Below are 20,149 nucleotides of genomic sequence, written 5' to 3'. Positions count from 1 at the left end.
TCCTCCTGCCTCAGTCTTCGAAGTAGCTGGGACTACAGGTGCGCGCCACCACCCCCGGCTAATTTTTTTTTTTTAAGAGACGGGGTCTGGCCATGTTGCTAAGGCTGGTCTCAAACTCCTGTGCTCAAGCTACATTTCCGCCTCAGGCCTCCCAAAGCGCCCAGATTGCAGGCGTGAGCCACTGCGCCCAGGCTGGGTGAAGTAATTTGTAAAACTTAGTCCTGTGGGAGTTATTTTAGCTTAGTCGATTTTCCTCATCCGTGAAATGGGATAACTTCCACCTGGTGCCCACTCAATAGATAAGAAGAAATAATGTCTGCAAAACATTGAGTACAGCGCCTCTTAGGCTTTCTTAAGTGAAGCTATCATCTGTCATTAGCTTTCTCTGACCCAGATGCTACACGCTGTGGGCTAGCAAGAACACGGCTTCAAATAAGGTGGGGAGAATGGCTGTAAGGGGACAGTGTTCCATTAATGGCCAAAAAAAAAAAAAAAAAAAAAGCAGCCTAAAAATCCTTTTAACGTATCCTTAAATATTCACTTGAGGGTTCAACCTTTCTTTCCTTTCTCCTGACCTCTATCGGCCCTAATTAACCTGTTCCTGCCGCCACCTAACTTTACCCTAATTTGGAAAAAGCTGTGACTGCCCAATACTTGTTCCTCTTTTCCCCCTACACCTTTGAGCACTAGAAAGCTCCAGACCCAGAGCTGCTGAGGGGCGGGAGAGGAAGGGAGTCACTAAGCCGCAGCCTGGCCCTTCCTCCCAGGGCAGCGTAAATTCACGCAAACATTGATTCGTTCGCTCAACAAACATTGGGAACCTAAGTGCCAGGCTTGTGCCAGGCCCCAGTCTCTGACCTCATGGAGCCCACAGCCCACTGGGGAACAGAGATTAAGCCATGAAACACGAAAATGAGTGCCACAAAGACGTGAGCTACTAGAGTATCAGGACCGACCTCCTTTAGACCGCTGGATGGGAGAGTCGTTTGTGAGGAAGTGACTTTTAAGCTGAGGCCTGAAGGGTGATCTGAGGGAGCTGCTCTTGGCCATCGATATGCCGCGCGACTCCCCAGGCCCTCGGACCCGGAGCCTGGACCAAGGCTGGGCGGGAAGGCCCCGGGCCAGGGGCGGAGCCACCTCGGCGGCGAAAGCCGGAAAGCGGAAGCCGAAGGCTGCTGCCCGGTGGTCGGCTGAGCGGCTCTAGCCCAGATCTCAGACGGCTGAGTCACTGCATCCCGGCGCGGCCCGCAGAAGACGAGCGCCGCTGCCGCCGCCTCCTCCTCCCGGGCTCCCGGGCTCTCGGGGTCCGGGGCCTTTGCACCTGTCTTTTCCAGCTGGGCACAAAGCCTTTTGCTGTCGCCGTGGCGACTGGAGGCCTTCACTTTTAATCCCCCTCATTTTCCAGTTCATTCTCTGCTTATTTTCTGGTCAGTCCGTGACCCTGTAGGCGGCCTCTGACCGGCGATCGATTTGCCGCCCTCAGGGCGCTGGGCGGCCGGCTGCCTCCGAAGCTGGGGCGGCCTCCGCGGTCTCCATGGTAACGGCCTCTCCGGCGTCTCCGCCTGGAGGGGAAGATGCGGCCTGCCTGGCCCGCCGCCTCGCCCCCGGCCTCACGGTGGGACCCCGGGCACTGAGGACGGAGGTCCCGGGCGCCGGCCCGCGGGGCAACGGGCACTAGGTGAGAGCCGGACGCGGGCGAGCGAAGGAGGCGGGTGCCGGGCGACTCCAGCGGCGGCCCCTGCCCCTCCCCCGCACCCACGAACACGCTCGCCCGATATATTGCAGAGGCTTCTCCGGTCGCCGCTGCGCCAGTTTTTTTTTGTTTGTTTGTTGTGTTTTCCCTGGCAAACAGCTGGAGAAAGAGCAGCTCATGGAGAGGCTGAGAGAAGCGGTTTTCGCGTCCTACCCAAACTGGGAGAGTAACCTTCAGCAGCTGGACTCACCGATTGGTTTTCCTTCATTTTCAGTGAAATCCCATTCTCTGGCTGGAGACACAGATGGCCTCAAATGAGAGAGATGCTATATCGTGGTACCAAAAGAAGGTAATACATATATATATTTTTTTTATTTGTAAAGCATTCTTCCTGCAAAAAGCTCCCACAAATAATATAATGTTACTTTCCCCCGAGTTTAGTAGTGCCAGGTGTTCATGTATACTTCAACATAAATGAAAAAAAAAAAAAAAAGATGTACAAGGTCATTATGTCTTTTAAACCCGGTTCCAGGTCCCAGAATAAGGTTTACAAGCCACCTCCTTCAGGCTGCATACACAATGCCACCGCAATGCTTTGAAAGTTTGCTTCTGATCAAACTGCTTAAAAACAAAAAAGACATGAAACCTGTATGTGCACAGCTCAGATTGATACTATCAACAATCTTATTGAGCTGTTCCTTATCTTTTATTCCTCTCTAGTTTTTCTAGTGCTCTTTTCCTTAAGAAGTGGATTTTTTTTTTTTTTTTTTTTTTTTGAGACGGAGTTTCGCTCTTGTTGCCCAGGCTGGAGGGCGATGGCGCGACCTCGGCTCACTGCAAGCTCCGCCTCCCGGGCTCAGCCTCTGGAGTAGCTGGGATCACAGGCGCCCACCACCACGCCCGGCTAATTTTTTGTATTTTTAGTAGGGACGGGGTTTCACCATGTTGGTCAGGCTGGTCTCAAACTACAGGCGTGAGCCACCATGCCCGCCCAAGAAGTGGAAATATCTTTTAAGGTAATATTAATTTGAAATATTTTGGGCATTGCTTTTGAACTTACTTTTAGGTCCAGCTATTTTAGATTTTTGAAGGAAACAGTCCTTCGAAGTATTGATTTATTCTAACTTTTGAGAAGCATATTTTCCACATAGCATATTGATACTTAATAGGCTCATGACTTTTATGAGGCTTGACTTAATAATGTAAGGATTTCCTTTGCATCGTTTAACTAATAGACTACTCCCTCTTTCAGATTGGAGCCTACGATCAGCAGATATGGGAAAAGTCAATCGAACAGACTCAGATTAAGGTAAATTGATTTCTTTGATTCCGCCTATGTTTCACTGCATTAATATGAAGAGTGGAATTGTACTTACCTGGTAAACTCTGCATTTAACTACCAGTATGGCATTCTTTAATCTTTGAAGGTTATAAGAAAAGCAGTGCAAGCATAATGAGAAGTGACACTTGATTTTTGGCCTCACTATCAGGAAAACAGAAAGGAGTGAGTTGTTCTATGATGAATTAGAGAGCAAATGTCCCATATAAATAGGGCTGGGGTTACTTAGCTCTGGCTAGTTTTTACCACTTGGCAGTGCAGGTCCAAATATTGCCAGAGTTTCAGATTTTTCAAGAGAAGCTGGAAATACACATTTTTATATGAAATATATTGTGCATTTTGTGTCGGATTTTTAAGAGACTCTTCCTTCTCTTCCTCCTCCTCCTTTGCAAGCCAAATAAAATCCATTTGTGGCCTGAATCCAGCCTATGGTCCCCCATTTTATTCAATCACTGGCTTAGAGTATGTGTTTTTGTTTGTTTTTTTGTTTTGTTTTGTTTTTGAGACAGAGTCTCACTCTGTCGTCCAGGCTGGAGTGCAGTGGCGTGATCTTGGCCCACTGCAAGCTCCGCCTCCTGGGTTCACGCCATTTTCCTGCCTCAACCTCCAGAGTAGCTGGGACTACAGGCGCCCACCACCACGCCCGGCTAATTTTTTGTATTTTTAGTAGAGACGGGGTTTCACTGTGTTAGCCAGGATGGTCTCGATCTCCTGACCTTGTGATCTGCTCACCTCCGACTCCCAAAGTGCTGGGATTACAGGCGTGAGCCACCGCGCCCGGCCTAGAGTATGGTTTTAAGTTTTTCAGGTTCTTAAACTTTTTTCTACACAGCTCTTAGAACTGAGAGGATTCTTATTTTATACTAACCAAGTGACCAAAAACTGTTATATAATTCAGAATGCCAGTTTATTAACTTATAATAGGGGAGGAGAGGGTTAAATTATCTTCTGATATTCCAAAGTCAGAGTTGTGGGGTTAAGCCATTTGGGGATGCTGGTACAAATTCATCATGGAATGGTTGCTTGGTAACCAAATGTAATTGGATAGTCTTGAGATGTGGAAAAGCCTAAAGAACCATCCTTGGCCCTCAAAAGAATATAACTCTCTGCGACTTTAATACTTACTTAAATCTTATGGATTCAGGGCCTCACTTCCTTGCAAAGTGCTGATAAATGCCAGCTGATTCTTGTTTTTGCATTACCTTTCAAAAAGTATTGCAGCAGACCCTTCATTAATACTTAAAAAAACTGGGTGAATACAACTTAATATTATCTGTTCTGTTAAATAGGCCAATCAATAGAAAGCTACTTGAACAACAAGTAGCCGACTAACTTTTCACAATTTGGTATAGTCCTTGATTATTTATATTAGTGGGAGATGGGGTTAGGATGAATAAGTCTCCAGATTTTATTTTGTGATTCTCTAAAGCCTGTCCTGTTATTTTTTTGTGAGCTGCTAAACATCACTGATAGTAAGTATGGTGTAATGGAAACAGCATAGAAGTGGAGTTTGATCTTGTTTTGTGATCTCTAGCCTTGTTATCTAACCTTCTTCCCCTAGCCAATTTAAAGATTTCCTTCACCCTTTTTTTTTTTTTTTTTGAGACAGAGTCTCGCTCTGTCACCCTGGTTGGAGTGCAGTGGAGCGATCTCGGCTCACTGCCAGCTCCGCCTCCTGGGTTCACACCATTCTCCTGCCTCAGCCTCCCGAGTAGTTGGGACTACAGGGGCCCGCCACCATGCCCAGCTAATTTTTTGTACTTTTTTTTTTTAGTAGAGACGGGGTTTCACCATGTTAGCCAGGATGGTCTCGATCTCCTGACCTCGTGATCCACCTGCCTCAGCCTCCCAAAGTGCTGGGATTATAGGCATGAGGCATGAGCCACCGCGCCCTGCCTGATTTCCTTCACTCTTTTCCATGTCATTTAATACATACCTTCCTTTTAGTGCATGATATCAAAGTTATTTGTTAACCTATGTGTGTTCATAGGCCTAAGGGTAGGAAGTGTGTTTGTTTCCTACTCTTAGAACATCTTGATTCATACTAGGAACTCTGTCTGTTGCTATAGTTAATTGAACCCTATCCATCATGCATATTTTTTACTCGTTCTCTCATAGGGTAATCTACCTAACCACGCCTTAATGTATGCTTTTAAATTTAGCGGCGGTGGGAAGAATGAAATGTAAAATAACTATAAACATTTACTGAGCTTTCAGTGTGATAGTAGAAAGCTGAAAAAAAAATTACTCAGCTAATGTGCCACTCTTGTACTAGGTGCTGAGAATACAGTGAAAAAGATAGATGTGATTGTTGCCTTCATGGGTTTCACAGTCTGATAGTGATGGGAGAAAAGCCCAGATATCTTTTTAATATGCTTAAGTCTTAAAAAATGACCAAAGTATAGCATACAAAAAAATTAATGCTAAATTTAAAAATACATGAACACAAATACAATTTTTTGAAAACAAAAAATAAAAACAAAAAATAAAAGAACAAATAAGCAAAAAAAATTTTAAAATAAAAATATTAACATCATATCACAGTACTGTTATATAATTTAAAATTATATATTTAAAAGTATAATTCAGAATTATGAAAGATAAATTTTAAAAATCTTAACTTGGGTCATGAAAAATGGTATGAACTCTTCAATAAGCATTTATTGAACTACAATGTTTAAGGCATTTTGTTGGGTGCTGAGCACAAGAGAAAAATATTAACAAACAGAAGTATAAGACTTGTTTAGAGGAAGAGCAAGTAAGTAGCCCAATATGATTGGAGAATAAGGTACATAGATAGAGTGATAGGCCATAAATCTATTTGAAGGTTACTTGACTGCTTTACTAAGAACTTTAGATACTATTCTGTAGAAAATTGAAAGGTTTTAATGGTTTTTGAGTAGAGGAGTCACATCATATCTGTGTTTTTGAAAGATAGAAATAAAAATATAGACATTATAATAAAATCTATGGAATATTTCCAGAGTAGTACTTATTATTCTCAATGTCTATATTAACAAAAAATGTCTAGTTTGACTAGGAAGGTTTACAATGAATCATATTAATATTGAAGAATCTAGAGAAAGAAAATGTAATCAACCAAAGTAAAACAGGGAAAGAAATACCAAAAATAAAATGAAAGCATCCATTACGTATTTATTTAACAAATATTTGTTGACTGCTTACCTACAATGTGGCAGACACTAGCTATGCCTACATAATGGTAAGTAAAAACATTCAATCATTTTTTTTTTTTTTGAGACAGGGTCTGGCCCTGTTGCCCAAGTTGGAGTGCAGTGGCATGAACACAGCTCACTGCAGCCTCAATCTCCTGGGCTCAAGTGATTCTCCCACCTTAGCCTCCTGAGTAACTGGGACCACAGGCATGCACCAACAGGTTTGGATAATTTTTAAATTTTTTGTAGAGACAAGGTCTTGCCATGTTGTCCAGGCTGGTCTCGAATTCCTGAGCTCAAGCAGTGCTTCCACCTTGTCCTCTCAAAGTGCCGAGATTATAGGCATGAGACGCTCTGCCCAGCCATATTCAATATTTTTATTTTCATGGAATTTATGACAAAGTGGTTGAGAATAATAAAAAGAATCCTTCTAATAAATGCAAATTACTTAGTGGCAAATACTGAGAAGAGGTCTGTTTACAAGCTACTATACTTATAATAAGGGAAATAAATGAGCCTAGTTGCTGGGCATGGTGGCTCATGCCTGTAATCCTAGCACTTTGGGAGGCCAAAGTGGGAGGATCGTTTGAGGCCAGGGATTTGACACTAGCCCGGGCAACATAGGGAGACTCTGTCTCTACAAAAAATAAGTTAGCTGGCCATGATGGCATCTGCCTGTGGTCCCAGCTACTCAGGAGACTGAGGTGAGAGGATTGCTTAAGCCTGGAGGTCAAGATGACAGAGACCCTGCCTTTAAAAAAAAAAAAAAGGCTGGGCACGGTGGCTGATGCCTGTAATCCTAGCAGGGAGGCCGAGGCAGGCAGATTGCATGAGCTCAGGAGTTCAAGACTAGCCTGGGCAACATGGTGAAACCCCTTCTCTGCTAAAAATACAAAAATTAGCTGGGCATGGTGACACGCACCTGTAGTCCCACCTACTCAGGGGGCTGAGGCAGGAGAATCGTTTGAGTGTGGGAGGCAGAGGTTGCAGTGAGCTGAGATCATGCATTGCACTCCAGCCTGGGCAACAAAAGCGAGACTCCGTCTCAAAAATAAAAAAAAAAAAAGAAGAACCTAATTAAGAAGGTCAGATAAGCTTTTGCTAAGGAATTGATTAAAATGAGATCTGAAGCATGAGTAGCAGTTAATTAGGTCAAGAACAAATACACTAATTCTACACAAACTTTTTCAGAAAATAGAGAAGGAAATATACTTCTCAGCTCATTCTATGAGACTAGTATTACCCTGAAACCTAAACCAGACAAAGACATCATAAGAACATTCGTTATGAATGTATGTGTGAAAATCTTTAACAAGATATTAACAAAACCAATTCTACAACACATAAAATGGCTTATCTACTATGACCAAGTGGGAGTTATCCTGGGAATGCATTAATTTGAAAACAAAGTAATGTAATATGCCATATTAATAGGATAAAGGACAATCATATGATCTTCTCAGTAAATACAGAAAGAGCATTTAACAAAATTCAATGCCTATTAATAATAAACTAGGTTCTTAGGGGAACTTCTTCAACATAGTAAAGGTTGTCTAGGAAAAGCCTGCAACAAACTTCACACTTAGTGGTTAAGACTGAATGTTTTCCCCTAAAATCAGGAACAAAGCAGGGATATCTGCTCTTACTATTTTTATTTAACATTGTACTGGGAGTCCCAGCCAATGTAATAAGCAAAGGAAAAGAGATGAAAGGCATTGAGATGGAAAGGAATATGAAAACTGCCTTTACTCATGACAGCATAATCCCATATTTAGAAAATCCTAAGAATATATATAAAAAATGACAGTAGGCTGGGCGCAGTGGCTCACGCCTGTAATCCCAGCACTTTGGGAGGCCAAGGCGGGTGGATCACGAGGTCAGGAGATCGAGACCATCCTGGCTAACATGGTGAAACCCCATCTCTACTAAAAATACAAAAATTAGCCAGGCGTGGTTGCAGGCTACTGGGGAGGCTGAGACAGGAGAATGGCGTGAACCCGGGGAGGCAGAGCTTGCAGTGAGCCAAGATCGCGCCACTGCACTCCAGCCTGGACGACAGAACGAGACTCCGTCTCAAAAAAAAAAAAAAAAAAAAAAAAAAAAAAAATTACAGTAACAAATGAATGTGGCAAGGTCTTCAAATACAAGATCAGTACACAAAAATCAGTTGTATTTCTATATACCAACAATGAATAATTCAAAAATAAAATTAAGAAAACAATTTTATAATAGCAACAAAGAATAAAACACTTAGGAATGACATAAAAAGTGTAAGATTCATACATGGAAAACTATAAAACATTGCTTAGAGAAATTAAAGAAGGTCTAAATAAATGGAATAGCATTTCATGTTCATGATCTGGAAGATTCAATATTGTTAAAATGTCAGTTTTCTCCAAATGTATCTATATATTCAATGTAATCCCTTCAAAATTCCAGCAGAAGTTTGTTTTTGGTAGAGATTGATGAGCTAATTCTCAAATATATGTATGTAATACAAAGGATGTAGAATATTCAAAACAAATTTAAAAAGAATAGTGTTGGAAGATTTACATTACTACATTTATAATACATCTGTTAGAACAAAATTAAAAAGATTGACAATACCAAATGTTGGCAAGGTGATGGAGGAACTACAACTCTTCTACTCTTCTACACTGCTGTTGGGCATGGAAAATGGAAAATAGTTTGGTGGTTTTAAAAATGTTAAATATGTACTTCTCACATGACCCAACATTTCCACTCCTAGGGTATCTACCTATATTTAGGGTATCTACTATATTTAACATTTTCTATCCAAGAGAAGTGAAAACATAAATACATGCAAATGTTCATAGCAGCACTATTCTTAATAGCCAGAAGTAGGAAAAACCCACGTGTCCATCAACTGGTGAATCAATTGGTATAAACAAATGTGTTATAGTCATACAATGAAATACAATTCAGCAATAAAAACTGTTAATACATACTGCATCATGGATGAACATAAAAAATGTCATGCTAAGTACAACATATTGTGTGATTGTTTATATGAAATTTCTAGAAATCTATAGAAATAGAAAACAGATCAAAAGTTGCCTATGGATTGAGGGGAACAGGGCTTTCCTGCAAACAGGCAGAAAGGAACTTTTTGAGGTGATGGAAATGTTCTAAAACTTGAGTGTGATAATGATTGCACAACTCTACAAATTTACTAAAAATCTAAATTATTTACTAAATCTGTAAAAATAGTTTAGTTTAATAGTATGTAAATTATACCTCAATAAAGCTACTTTAAAAATTATACCAATAGTAAAAGTAGGAAAAATCATAATATAGTACACCAAAAATGTAAATGTATACATATTCACAATTAAAATTGTTTTCTAAATTTTTAAAAAATATTTTATATTTTGTAGAGACAAGGTCTCACCACATTGCCTAGGCTGGTCTTGAACTCCTGGGCTTAAGCAGTTCTCCCTCCCTGGCCTCCCAAAGTGCTGGGATTACAGATGTAAGCCACCACACCCAGCCCTAAAATTTTTTAATTGAGAGAATATATTAAATCTAATGTCTAATATTATTTTCAGTGATGGAGTGTAACTTAGTCCTCCAAAATAAGCCTAAAATAAGAATCTCCCCTTTTACTAATCTTTTTTTTTTTTTTTTGGAGACAGAGTCCTGCTCTGTTGCCCAGGCTGGAGTGCAGTGCTCACAGCAACTTCCGCCTCCCAGGTTCAAGTGATTCTCCTGCCTCAGCCTCCCGAGTGGCTGGGATTACAGGCGCACGCCACCATGCCCAGCTAATTTTTGTATTTTTGGTAGAGGTGGGGTTTCACCATGTTGGCCAGGATGGCTCGATCTCTTGATTTCATGATCTGCCTGCCTTGGCCTCCCAAAGTGCTGGGATTACAGGCGTGAGCCACCACGCCTGGCCCCTTTTACTACTCTTTAGCATACTGTTTGAGATACATTTGCTAAGATGAGCAAAACATTCTAATTAATATTAATTAATATTATCTTTTCTTTTTTGTGTGTTTTATTTTTAAAAATTAATATTAGAGTGAACAAAAATCACTGTTTGAAGATAGCATGGTTTTGTATTTAGAGAATAAAAAAGGCTAATCAGAAGCACAGAGACTACTTCAGCTGTATTTATAATGTTTTATTTAAGCAGGATGGTGGCCATATGATAGATGACACTGACACTCCTCATTAAAGATGACAGTTTGAGGCCATGCGTGGTCGCTCACGCCTATAATCCCAGCACTCTGGGAAGCCGAGGTTTTTGCTCGAGGCCGGGAGTTTGGGACCAGCCTGGGCAACATAGCTCTACAAAAAGATAAAAAAATTAGCTGGGTGTGGTGGGCATGTGCCTGTAGTCCCAGATACTGGGGAAGCTGGTTGGGGGGGATCGCCTGAGCCCAGGAGTTTGAGGCTGTGGTGTGCTATGATTGTGCCACTGCACTCTAGACGGGGTGACAGAGCAAGACCCTGTCCTGAAAAAAAAACAAAAACAAAACAAAACCCAAAAAATGGTAGTTCAAATACATGCACTAATCTCTCCTGAAACCTCTTTAAAAGTACAACAGATAAGAAAAAATCATGGCAGCCTGCAAGGACTTAAAGAATGGAAGAAGAGACTACAGTAAATGAGAGCTATCAATACAATTTCGAAGGTTGGAAAATGAAAGAAGTAAAACTCTTAAGTGCCTGCAATAGGGAAAGCCAATAGGAAACAAGTAAAACCCCTGTAATTAACTTCTGAAAGACTCAGGAATTAGATGTATCAGGTATAATCTGTAGGAGTGAGAAAGAACTAAAGACAGGATTGTTTGAACATGTGTATAAGGGATAATAGATCTACCCCCAGATCTTCCTTATTCCATGTAGCCACATAGTTACCCTTATCTTCCTCTGACAGAAGACCGGGTTGAAGCTTGCTCTCTGGAGAGGCTGAGCCAGAGAAGTTCTGGATTCTGGAAGACCAGAAACAAATCAGAGTCTGGTGAGATGCTGCACTAATAATGGGGATTAAGTGAAAGTCTGGTCGTCAGATTTATAATCTGCAAACAGAAGACTGGAATTTCTTTTCGTCAAAACTGAGTAACCAAAGAGAACCTAAGGATACTGAAAAGTGAAATGACTGGCCACGCCTCTATAGTGAGGTCCACTATTCAAAATGCTTCACGCATTGCACACTGAGCTTGCATTCAGTGTGTTAGTGACTGTTAATTATAAATGGATAATTAAAGATCATCAAATATTTAAGACCTAAAGAAAAAGAAGAAAAGAGAAAAGAAGCAATGCAGGAATCATAAAAACAGTGTTTTTAAAGATATAATTACTACCTTTAAAGAACTGGATACTATAAAAAGACTGAGATATCTTCAGGACATCTATTGTATAACATTGGTGACTATAGTTAGTATGTTGTATTCTTGAAAAATGCTAAGAGAGTGGATATTAAGTGTTCTCACCACACAAATAATAACCATGTGAGGTAATGTATATATTAATTTAGTCATTCTACAGTGTATATCCACTTCAGAATATGTTGTACACACTGAATACATAGAATATTATCTGTCAATTTAAAAATTAAGAATGCTTAAAAAATAGACTATAGATTAGAAAGTGAGAAGACTAGAAAATAAAAATAATCAGAATAAATTCAGGGGTGGCTGGGTACAGTGGCTCACGCCTGTAATCTCAGCACTTTGGGAGGCCGAGGCTGATCGCTTGAGCCCAGGAGTTCAAGATTAGCTTGGGCAACATGGTGATACCCTGTCTTTACAAAAAATACAAAAAAATTAGCTGGGCTTGGCGTTGCATGCCTGTAGTCCCAGCTACTTAGGAGGCCGAGGTGGGAGATCATCTGAGCCTGGGAAGTCGAAGCTGCAGTGAGCCGTGATTGCACCACTGCACTCCAGCCTGGGTGACAGAGTGGGACCCTGTCTCAAAAATAAACACATAAATAAATAAAAATTAAAATAAATTCAGTGGAAAAGTTAGAAGATAAATTTGAGACCATTTCCCAGAAAAGTAGTATAAAAATGAACAACAAAAAAGAAAATAGCAAAGTGAGTGCAATTCATGCAGGAAATGTAATATCCAACTAATAGATGTTCCAGAAAAAGGAAATACATGGAGAAGAAGAAATTAATAAATAATTTTAAAAATTGCCCCAGAAATGCAGTACTGTGTATGTATTTCCAGATTAAAAGGATCTTTTCGTTGGGCATGGTGGCTCACGCCTGTAATCCTAGCACTTTGGGAGGCTGAGGCAAGAGGATCCCTTGAACTCAGGAGTTTGAGACCAGCCTGGGCAACAAAGTGAGATCCTATCTCTACAATAAAATTTAAAAATCAGCTGGGTGTAGTGGTGTGTGCCTGTAGTCGCAGCTACTCAGACGGCTGAGGTGAAAGGGTCCTTTGAGCCTGGGAGTTCAAAGGTGCAGAGAGCCGTGAATACAACACTGCACTCTAGCCTGGGCGACAAGCGAGATTCTGTCTCAAAAGAAAAAGGAAAATAAAAGGATCTTTTGAGTCATCAGCACTGAGAAACATTATCATGAAATTTCAGAACATTTAGAATTAGAGCTTGGGTTAAGCATGGAGTAGAGTGAAGGATCAAAACGGATCATGTAGACAAAAATTGGGAGTCAGAGATACTGCCCCTCAGCAGCAACTTCTAGCTCATTTGGAAGCTAAAAGATAATGGAATGTTCAGTGGAAGGTGAGGGACAATGGCACATGAGAGAAAGTGATTTTCAACCTGAAGTTTTATGCCCAGCCTAATTATTAATCAAGTGCAAAGGCACCACTGATATATTTTGAACTTAGAGTCTCAAAATTCATATCCCATACTCCCTCTCTCAGAAAGCTGTGGGAGGACATGTACTGTATTATAATCCATGAATAAGCCAGAAAGGAATTCATAGTGTCAGAAAACAGGACAGCCAACACAGCAAAGTAAAAGGAATTCCAGGATAATTGCAAATGTCTCAGGATGATACCTTATATCTGACCTAGAAAACAACCAGTCCAGAATGGAGTATGAGGACAGAAAATTGATATAGAACTCTTGAAGGGGGAAAACTAAACTGATATATGTTGTGTTCGAGCATATTGGAAGCAGATATGTAACAGAGGGAGTTTAAAGATGAATTAGTAATAGAAGATTAAGTGCATTAAAAAATGAGGCAATTACAGTTCTAGGACAAGCAAAAAATTTGTGAGAGGAAAATATAATAGTTCACTACTTGGCTTAGCTGTGAACAATATTTATGTAATTATAACCCTCTAAACATTGATGTAACAAAAATTTGTGATAAAACTCTATTGGAAAAAACTATAGTTCAGGAGGGCGTGCGTGTTTGGTGATGCTGTAATCATTAATAGTGTGTAGTATGTCTTGCATTGTTTTAAGCAACACACACAATTGATCCTCATGATAATCTTATGAGGTATGTGCTATTATCTTCCCTTTTTTATAGGTGAAGGAATTGAGGCATAGAAAGGCTAAATAAGAGTTATTTCCTCATCTTCAACAGTAAGAAATGAATGGATAACATCTGAAATTGATGAAAGCACTGTAAACATTTTTTGTTTTAGAAGTAAAGAGAAGAAATAGCTAGGATGTATGAATCAAGGGTAAGGAAGGGTGAGACTGGAATGTTATTTTTTATTAACCTTGTAATATGAGTATTATTTTAGTACAAATAAAGATTTAATTTTACAACATTTTTCCTCCAAAACCAAATAATACATTAAATGATGTTACCTGAGTAATAGGATATACATATATTTCCATATGCGATAGGTAGATTTAGAGGTATGTGAGTATTTACGTATATTGGCTATACCAATATGCTTTATTTATACCGGTGCCAAAACCAACAAATCTCCTTAGCATTTAGGCAAGAAATTTAGAGTCAGATGGACTGAACTGTATATTATAGTAATTTTCCTAATTATTCACTACCTGTAATTATTCTTACCTGTAAGAAGATTATATGGCTGCACTTACTGTCATGTGAGTTGCAGTGCCTTCCTATAAGAGAAGAATTCTTCCTGGCCCCACAGACTTCCACCTTAGTCAGGGGATTTGCTTGGCCAGTGGAATGTGAGCTGAATGTGACCTTCCTCCCATGACCCAATACTTTTCATTTTCTTACCTTTCCTATTCAGTGAATTGCTAAAGTACTGAAGTCAGGGTTTAGAGTTCTTCACCTTCACACTAATCTCACATTTTCAGTTACCAATACTTCTGGATGATACCTGCTAAATATCTTTTGAATATGAGTACTCTTCCCAGTTCACGCTTCTAATTACCTGGTCTAACCTATTGTCTACTCATCTGGTTGGCAAACTATTGCTTATGTGCAAATCTAGCTGAAACACAGCCAGGTTTAGTGCTTTACATATTTATATTCAATGTCTGTGTCTGCTTTAGTGCTACAGTGGCTGAGTGGTTGTGACAGAGATTGTATAGTCCAGCAGTCCCCAACCTTTTTGGCACCAGAGACCAGTTTCATGGAAGACAGTTTTTCCATGGACTGGTGTGGGGGGATGGTTTTACAATGATTCAAGCACATTACAATTATTGTACACTTTATTTCTATTATTACCTTATAATATATAATGAAATAATTGTACAGCTCACCATAAGGTAGAATCAGTGGGAGCCCTTAGCTTGTTTTTCTGCAACTAGACAGTCCCATCTGGGGGTGATGGGAGACAGTGACAGATCATCAGGCATTAGATTCTCATAAGGAGCATGCAACCTAGATCCCTCGAATGTGCAGGTCACAGTGGGGTTTGCACTCCTGTGAGAATCTAATGCCGCCACTCATCTGACAGGAGGTAGGGCTGAGGTGGTAATTTGAGCAGTGGGGAGTGGATGTAAATACAGATAAAGCTTCCCTTGTTCTCTCACCTGCCCCTCACCTCCTGCTGTGCAACCTGGTTCCTAACAGGCCACGTACCACTATTCCATGCCCTGGGGGTTGGAGACCCCTGATATAGTCCATAAAGCCTAAAATGCCATCTGGCTCTTTATAGAAAAATTTTGTCCACTCCTGATTAGATTACTGGGGTAGGTTTTTTAACTTTCTAACTGCTTTCTCTTGCTTCCTATCTCTCTTTACCCTCCATCTGTTCTTTATAGCAGAGCCAGGTTGTTGTTTTTTGGTTTCTGTTTTAACACAAATTTGATTATTTTTCTCATACTTAAAACTGTTTCCTGACTTCCTAGTACCCTTACAATAAAATCATACTCCTAGCATGGTTATAGTTTTCACATTATGGCTTCTTCTCATCTCACAAGTTTACCTCTCTCACCCATGTCTTGACCTCTTTTCACTTCCATTCTGTGCTTTAGGCCTTCTCAAACTTACTTTAGTTTTTACCATGCTATCTCTTATTCCTGGGTCCTCTCATGCTTTTCTTTCTTTCTTGCCCTGCCCTGCCCTGCCCTGCCCTGCCTTGCCCTCTCCTGCCCTGCCCTCCCTTCCCCTCCCCTCCCCAACTCCCCTCCCCTTCCCTTCCATTCCCTTCTTTCGAGACAGAGTCTTGCTCTGTCACCCAGGCTAGAGTGCAGTGGCTTGATCTTGTCTCCCTGCAGCTTCCACCTCCCTGATTCAAGGAATTCTCCTGCCTCAGCCTCCTGAGTAGCTGGGACTACAGGCTCATAGCAGCTACTCCCGGCTAATTTTTGGCATTTTAGTATAAGAGACAGGGTTTTACCATATTGCCCAGGCTGGTCGCCCTGAGGTCAGGGAATCTGCCTGCCTCAGCCTCCCAAAGTGCTGGGATTGCAGGCATGATCATATGTGTTTCTTGATTCCTCATTTTGCTATATCACATGTGCAACTTTACAAGTTCTTATACATTCTTCAGGTATCAGGTTAGATACTATTTTTCTTTGTGGAAATCTTTCTTGGACTTCTTAAATGTGAATAAGGTGTCCTTTATGGATGTTCCTGTAGTGCTATACTTGCCTTGTAATTGTTTTGTTGTTCACCATATGCCCCAAATCAGGGGTAACTTCCCTCTCTGCACCAGACTGTATAAATAGTTCAATTCTTTTGATTGTAATAAAATAGAAAATTTCAGCACCCTAGGAAATAGAGATTTCTCACAGGGTTTCACTTGTTTTTTATTCCTTGTTTAATACAAAGTCCAATTATATTGCATCAATACCTCCAGTGTTTTTGTTCCTCTTCCAAAAAGTGGGGACTTCATTTGTCAAGTGGTTCTGAGCTTGTGATGATGTTGCACAGTTATGTTGGGGGCAGACAGTAGAGAGGGCTGCGTACAGCCTACAGCTGGGGATCTGCAGAGAATTTCCAGACCACTACTCTGGCAACTAGTGATTATGCTGATTCTGTCCTACAATCTTTTCCTGGGCTGCTGAGGTAGAGGTTGTGGCCAGTAAGGAAATCCACTCATAATGCCCATTGAACCTCTCAAAGTTAAGCAGTCTTGTTTGATTTAAACAAAACCTCTCTCTACTTTGATTAGGGATGCATTTTGTGTCATATAGCGAAAGGCAGGATAGTGTAGTGGTTAGAGCACAGACTTTGGAATGAGAATGAAAGGGTTGGAATCTCTGCCTTGGTTGCCTTATCCGTAAAGTGAGGATAATAAAGGTACCAATCTCATAGGACATTTGTGAGGATTAAATGAGTCAAGTTAACTTAAGTACAGTCATGTGCCACATAATGATGTTTCTGTCATCAATGGACCTCATATACGACAATGGTCCCATAAGATTATAATGGAGCTGAAAAATTCCTATTGCCTAGTGATTTTGTAGCCATCCTAAAGTCATAGCACGACACATTACTCATGTGTTTGGAGTGATGCTGGAGTAAACAAACCAAATGCACTGTCAGTCATAAAAAGTATAGCATACAGTTATGTACGGTATCTAACACTTGATAATGATAATAAATGACTATATTACTGGTTTATATATTTACTATACTATACTTTGAATTGTTTAATTTTAGAGTGGACTCCTTCTATTTATTAAAAAAAAATCAGTTAACTGTAAAACAGTCTCAGGTAGGTCCTTCAGGAGGTATTCCAGAAGAAGGCATTGTGATCATAGGAGATGACAGCTCCCTGTGTGTTATTGCCCCTGAAGACCCTACAGTAGGACAAGATATGGAGGTGGGAGACAATGATATTGATGATCCTGACCCTATGTAGGCCTTGGCTGTGTGTGTCTTAGTTTTTATTTAAAAAGTAAGAAAAAAAAAAGCTTATGAAGATATAAAGAAAATGTGTGTTTTTAAACTGTTATTACAAAAGAGTAAAAAAGTTAAAAAAATTATAAAGCTTATAAAGTAAAAACATTACAGTAAGCTAAGGTTAAGTTATCATAGAACAGACTGGGTGAGGTGGCTCATGCCTGTAATTCTAGCACTTTGAGAGGACACAGCAGGAGGATCACTTGAGACCAGGAGTTTGAGACCAGCCTGGGTGACAAAGCAAGACCCCTTCTCTACAAAAACAACAACAACAACAACAACAAAAAACTCCTTGGGAGGCTGAGGTAGGAGGATTGCTTGAGCCCAGGAGGATGAGATTGTGGTGAGCTGTGATCGTGCCATTGCACTATATCATGGGCAACAGAGCAAGACTCTGTCCCAGAGAAAAAAAAGTTATTATTGTAGAAAGGAAGGTTTTAAAAAATGTGTAGCCTATGTTTATGGTGTTTATAAAGTCTACAATAGTGTACTACAGCAGTGTCCTAGGCTTTCACTTTCATTTACCACTCACTCACTGACTCACTCAGAGCAACTCCCAATCCTGAGAGCACTATTCATGATAAGTGCCCTATACAGGTGTACCATTTTTTATCTTTTTTTTTTCTTTATTGAGACAGAGTTTCACTCTTGTCGCCTAGGCTGGAGTGCAATGGCGCGATCTTGGCTCACTGCAACCTCAGCCTCCCGGGCTCAAGTGATCCTGCCTCAGCCTCCTGAGTAGCTGGGATTACAGGTGCCCACCACCACGCCTGGCTAATTTTGTATTTTTAGTAGAGACGGGGGTTTCACCATGTTGGCCAGGGTGGTCTTAAACTCCTGACCTCAGGTGATCCTCCTGCCTTGGCCTTCTAAAGTGCTGGGATTACAAGTGTGAGCCACCGCGCCCAGCCCCATTTTTTATACCATATTTTTACTGTACCTTTTTTAGGTTTAGACACAAATACCACTGGGTTTAAAATTGCCTAAATATTCTGCATAGTAATATGCTGGGCAGATTTGTAGCCTCGGAGCAATAGGCTGCCATATAGCCTAGGTGTGTAGTAAGCTTTACCATCAAGATTTGTGTGACTACGCTGTATGATGTTCAGGCAACAGTGAAATCACTTAAAGATGAATTTCTTAGAATGTATCCCTGACATTAAGTGATGCATGACTATATGTAAAAGTGCTTAGGATAGTGCCTGCCATGTACTTCCTCTTGTTACACATACATGCACGGTGGAAGATAAAGCAGAAGGATTCTAAAGTATGGAATGTGTTTTTTACTCTCCCTCAGTGCAAAATATACAACAGTATATTGTGACTTTTGTAATCTCCCATAAGATCAGTAGTCATAAGTTTATTAATGATTTCTGTCCCTTTAGGAAATAAAAAAATGGGGAGATTCAGAGGGTATTTTCCTGAGAAACCCTTGTACATTTGGCATTATTGTTTGTCTTCCCTTCTATACTGTACATTCTTTGAAGATAGAGCCGTGTTTTGACTTATTATTTTATACCTAGCTCAAGCAGATTATCTGACATATAGAAGATACTTGTCGAATATTTGTTGACTGAGTGAATAAATGTGTTTCTATTGCTAAGGGAGCTTTGGATAATTTTACCTCTAGTTAATGCTAATTCTAACTCTGTAACATTGTTGGAGAAAAGTCTAGAAAGCAAAGAAAGTAGAAAAATTATTTTGGCTCTAAAGTGATGGGGAATAGCACTGGTACAAATGTCCAGAAAGCTTAGCACTGGGACAAATGTCCAAAAAGGTAAAAAGTAATATTTTTACCTTTAAATTTTTAATTTCTGATTTTGAATATAGTACACAAGATAATTGTTATTCTCATGAAAATTATGCATATTTCAAAAATTAGTGTACATGTTTCTTCAAAGAGTTTTTTCCTTGAGTTGCCTCATTTTCAAATTTTGATTCCTTCTTTAATTTTATTACATTTAAGGTTTTAGAACATTTTTCTGTAAAATCTACAGCTTATGGTGAGTTGAATAGAAATATATAAGATTCACAAGAGAAACTGACTGCATCTGTTTAAGCAAAGCTAAAGATCAATACTGGTTCAATGTCTGTAATAGGTAAACAGCAAATTACGGTAACCTTTAATTTTGGCATTAATTTTAGTGATTGAATATCTAATTTTTAAGACATAATTAAGAATTAGCATGTGCAAATTATTTTATTTTTATTTTTTAAATTAAGGGACAGGGTCTTGCTCTGTCACCCAGATTAGAGTGTAGTGGTGTGATCTCAGCTCACTGCAACCTCCATGTTCCCAGTTCAAGTGCTTCTCCTGCCTCAGCCTCCTGAGTAGCTGGGATTACAGGTGCCCGCCACCATGCCCAGCTACTTTTTGTGTTTTTAGTAGAGATAGAGTTTCAGCATGTTGGCCAGGCTGGTCTCAAACTCTTGACCTCAAGTATCCTCCCACCTTGGCCCCTCCCAAAGTGCTGGGATTATAGGGGTGAGCCACTGCACCTGGCCACTATTTCTCACCATATACAAAAATCAAGTCAAAATGGATTAATGATTTAAATGTAAGACCTGAAACTGCTAGAAGAAAACATAGGGGAAATGCTTAAGAACATTGGTCTGGGTAAAGATTTTATGGAGAAGACCTCAGAAGCACAGGTAACAAACAAAAATAGATAAATAGGATTGTATCAAACTAGAAAGCTTC

At 40.2% G+C, this 20,149-nt stretch overlaps 1 protein-coding gene across 19 annotated transcripts in view, besides 7 other annotated features; it reads left to right on the top strand.

Moving 5' to 3' along the window:
• Window positions 763–1,342: an enhancer, noted in NCBI's record as "H3K27ac hESC enhancer chr1:114301981-114302560 (GRCh37/hg19 assembly coordinates)". NCBI's record gives its function as "activates a minimal SCP1, AML or CMV promoter by ChIP-STARR-seq in naive H9 embryonic stem cells {active_cell/tissue: H9 hESC(naive)}" and the evidence as "EXISTENCE:reporter gene assay evidence [ECO:0000049][PMID:30033119]".
• The window catches only part of PHTF1 (putative homeodomain transcription factor 1), a 63,058-nt gene continuing 43,721 nt past the window's right edge, over window positions 813–20,149 (top strand). For 6 of the 19 annotated variants that reach the window (NR_136565.2, NR_136567.2, NM_001323046.2 and 3 more), the window contains exons 1-3: window positions 1,215–1,678; window positions 1,968–2,042; window positions 2,946–3,002. Coding sequence is in view for 9 of the 19 variants with exons in the window: in NM_001323043.2 (NP_001309972.1) it covers window positions 1,998–2,042; window positions 2,946–3,002 (102 nt within the window). In the remaining 10 variants the exon portion in view is untranslated. Of the gene's footprint in view, window positions 930–1,214; window positions 2,043–2,945; window positions 3,003–11,111; window positions 11,196–20,149 lie in introns of those variants that run through there. The other 13 variants (NR_136566.2, NM_001323041.2, NM_001323047.2 and 10 more) reach the window with 6 other exon arrangements.
• Window positions 1,493–1,812: a silencer, noted in NCBI's record as "silent region_1215". NCBI's record gives its function as "represses an Ori minimal core promoter by ATAC-STARR-seq in GM12878 lymphoblastoid cells {active_cell/tissue: GM12878}" and the evidence as "EXISTENCE:reporter gene assay evidence [ECO:0000049][PMID:35858748]".
• Window positions 2,446–2,575: a silencer, noted in NCBI's record as "silent region_1214". NCBI's record gives its function as "represses an Ori minimal core promoter by ATAC-STARR-seq in GM12878 lymphoblastoid cells {active_cell/tissue: GM12878}" and the evidence as "EXISTENCE:reporter gene assay evidence [ECO:0000049][PMID:35858748]".
• Window positions 3,621–4,176: an enhancer, noted in NCBI's record as "H3K4me1 hESC enhancer chr1:114299147-114299702 (GRCh37/hg19 assembly coordinates)". NCBI's record gives its function as "activates a minimal SCP1, AML or CMV promoter by ChIP-STARR-seq in primed H9 embryonic stem cells {active_cell/tissue: H9 hESC(primed)}" and the evidence as "EXISTENCE:reporter gene assay evidence [ECO:0000049][PMID:30033119]".
• Window positions 7,162–7,211: a silencer, noted in NCBI's record as "silent region_1213". NCBI's record gives its function as "represses an Ori minimal core promoter by ATAC-STARR-seq in GM12878 lymphoblastoid cells {active_cell/tissue: GM12878}" and the evidence as "EXISTENCE:reporter gene assay evidence [ECO:0000049][PMID:35858748]".
• Window positions 8,040–8,241: a silencer, noted in NCBI's record as "fragment chr1:114295082-114295283 (GRCh37/hg19 assembly coordinates)". NCBI's record gives its function as "represses an EF-1alpha promoter that drives an FKBP-Casp9 reporter gene in an ReSE screen in K562 erythroleukemia cells {active_cell/tissue: K562}" and the evidence as "EXISTENCE:reporter gene assay evidence [ECO:0000049][PMID:32094911]".
• Window positions 10,980–11,274: a silencer, noted in NCBI's record as "tiled region #5734; HepG2 Repressive non-DNase unmatched - State 15:Elon". NCBI's record gives its function as "represses a minimal TATA promoter and a strong SV40 promoter by Sharpr-MPRA in HepG2 cells {active_cell/tissue: HepG2}" and the evidence as "EXISTENCE:reporter gene assay evidence [ECO:0000049][PMID:27701403]".

This window comes from Homo sapiens, chromosome 1, assembly GCF_000001405.40.
Source record: "Homo sapiens chromosome 1, GRCh38.p14 Primary Assembly".
Lineage (NCBI taxonomy): Eukaryota > Metazoa > Chordata > Mammalia > Primates > Hominidae > Homo > Homo sapiens.
Note: the sequence above shows the minus strand (reverse complement) of the source record. Positions and strands in the feature narration are given on the sequence as shown.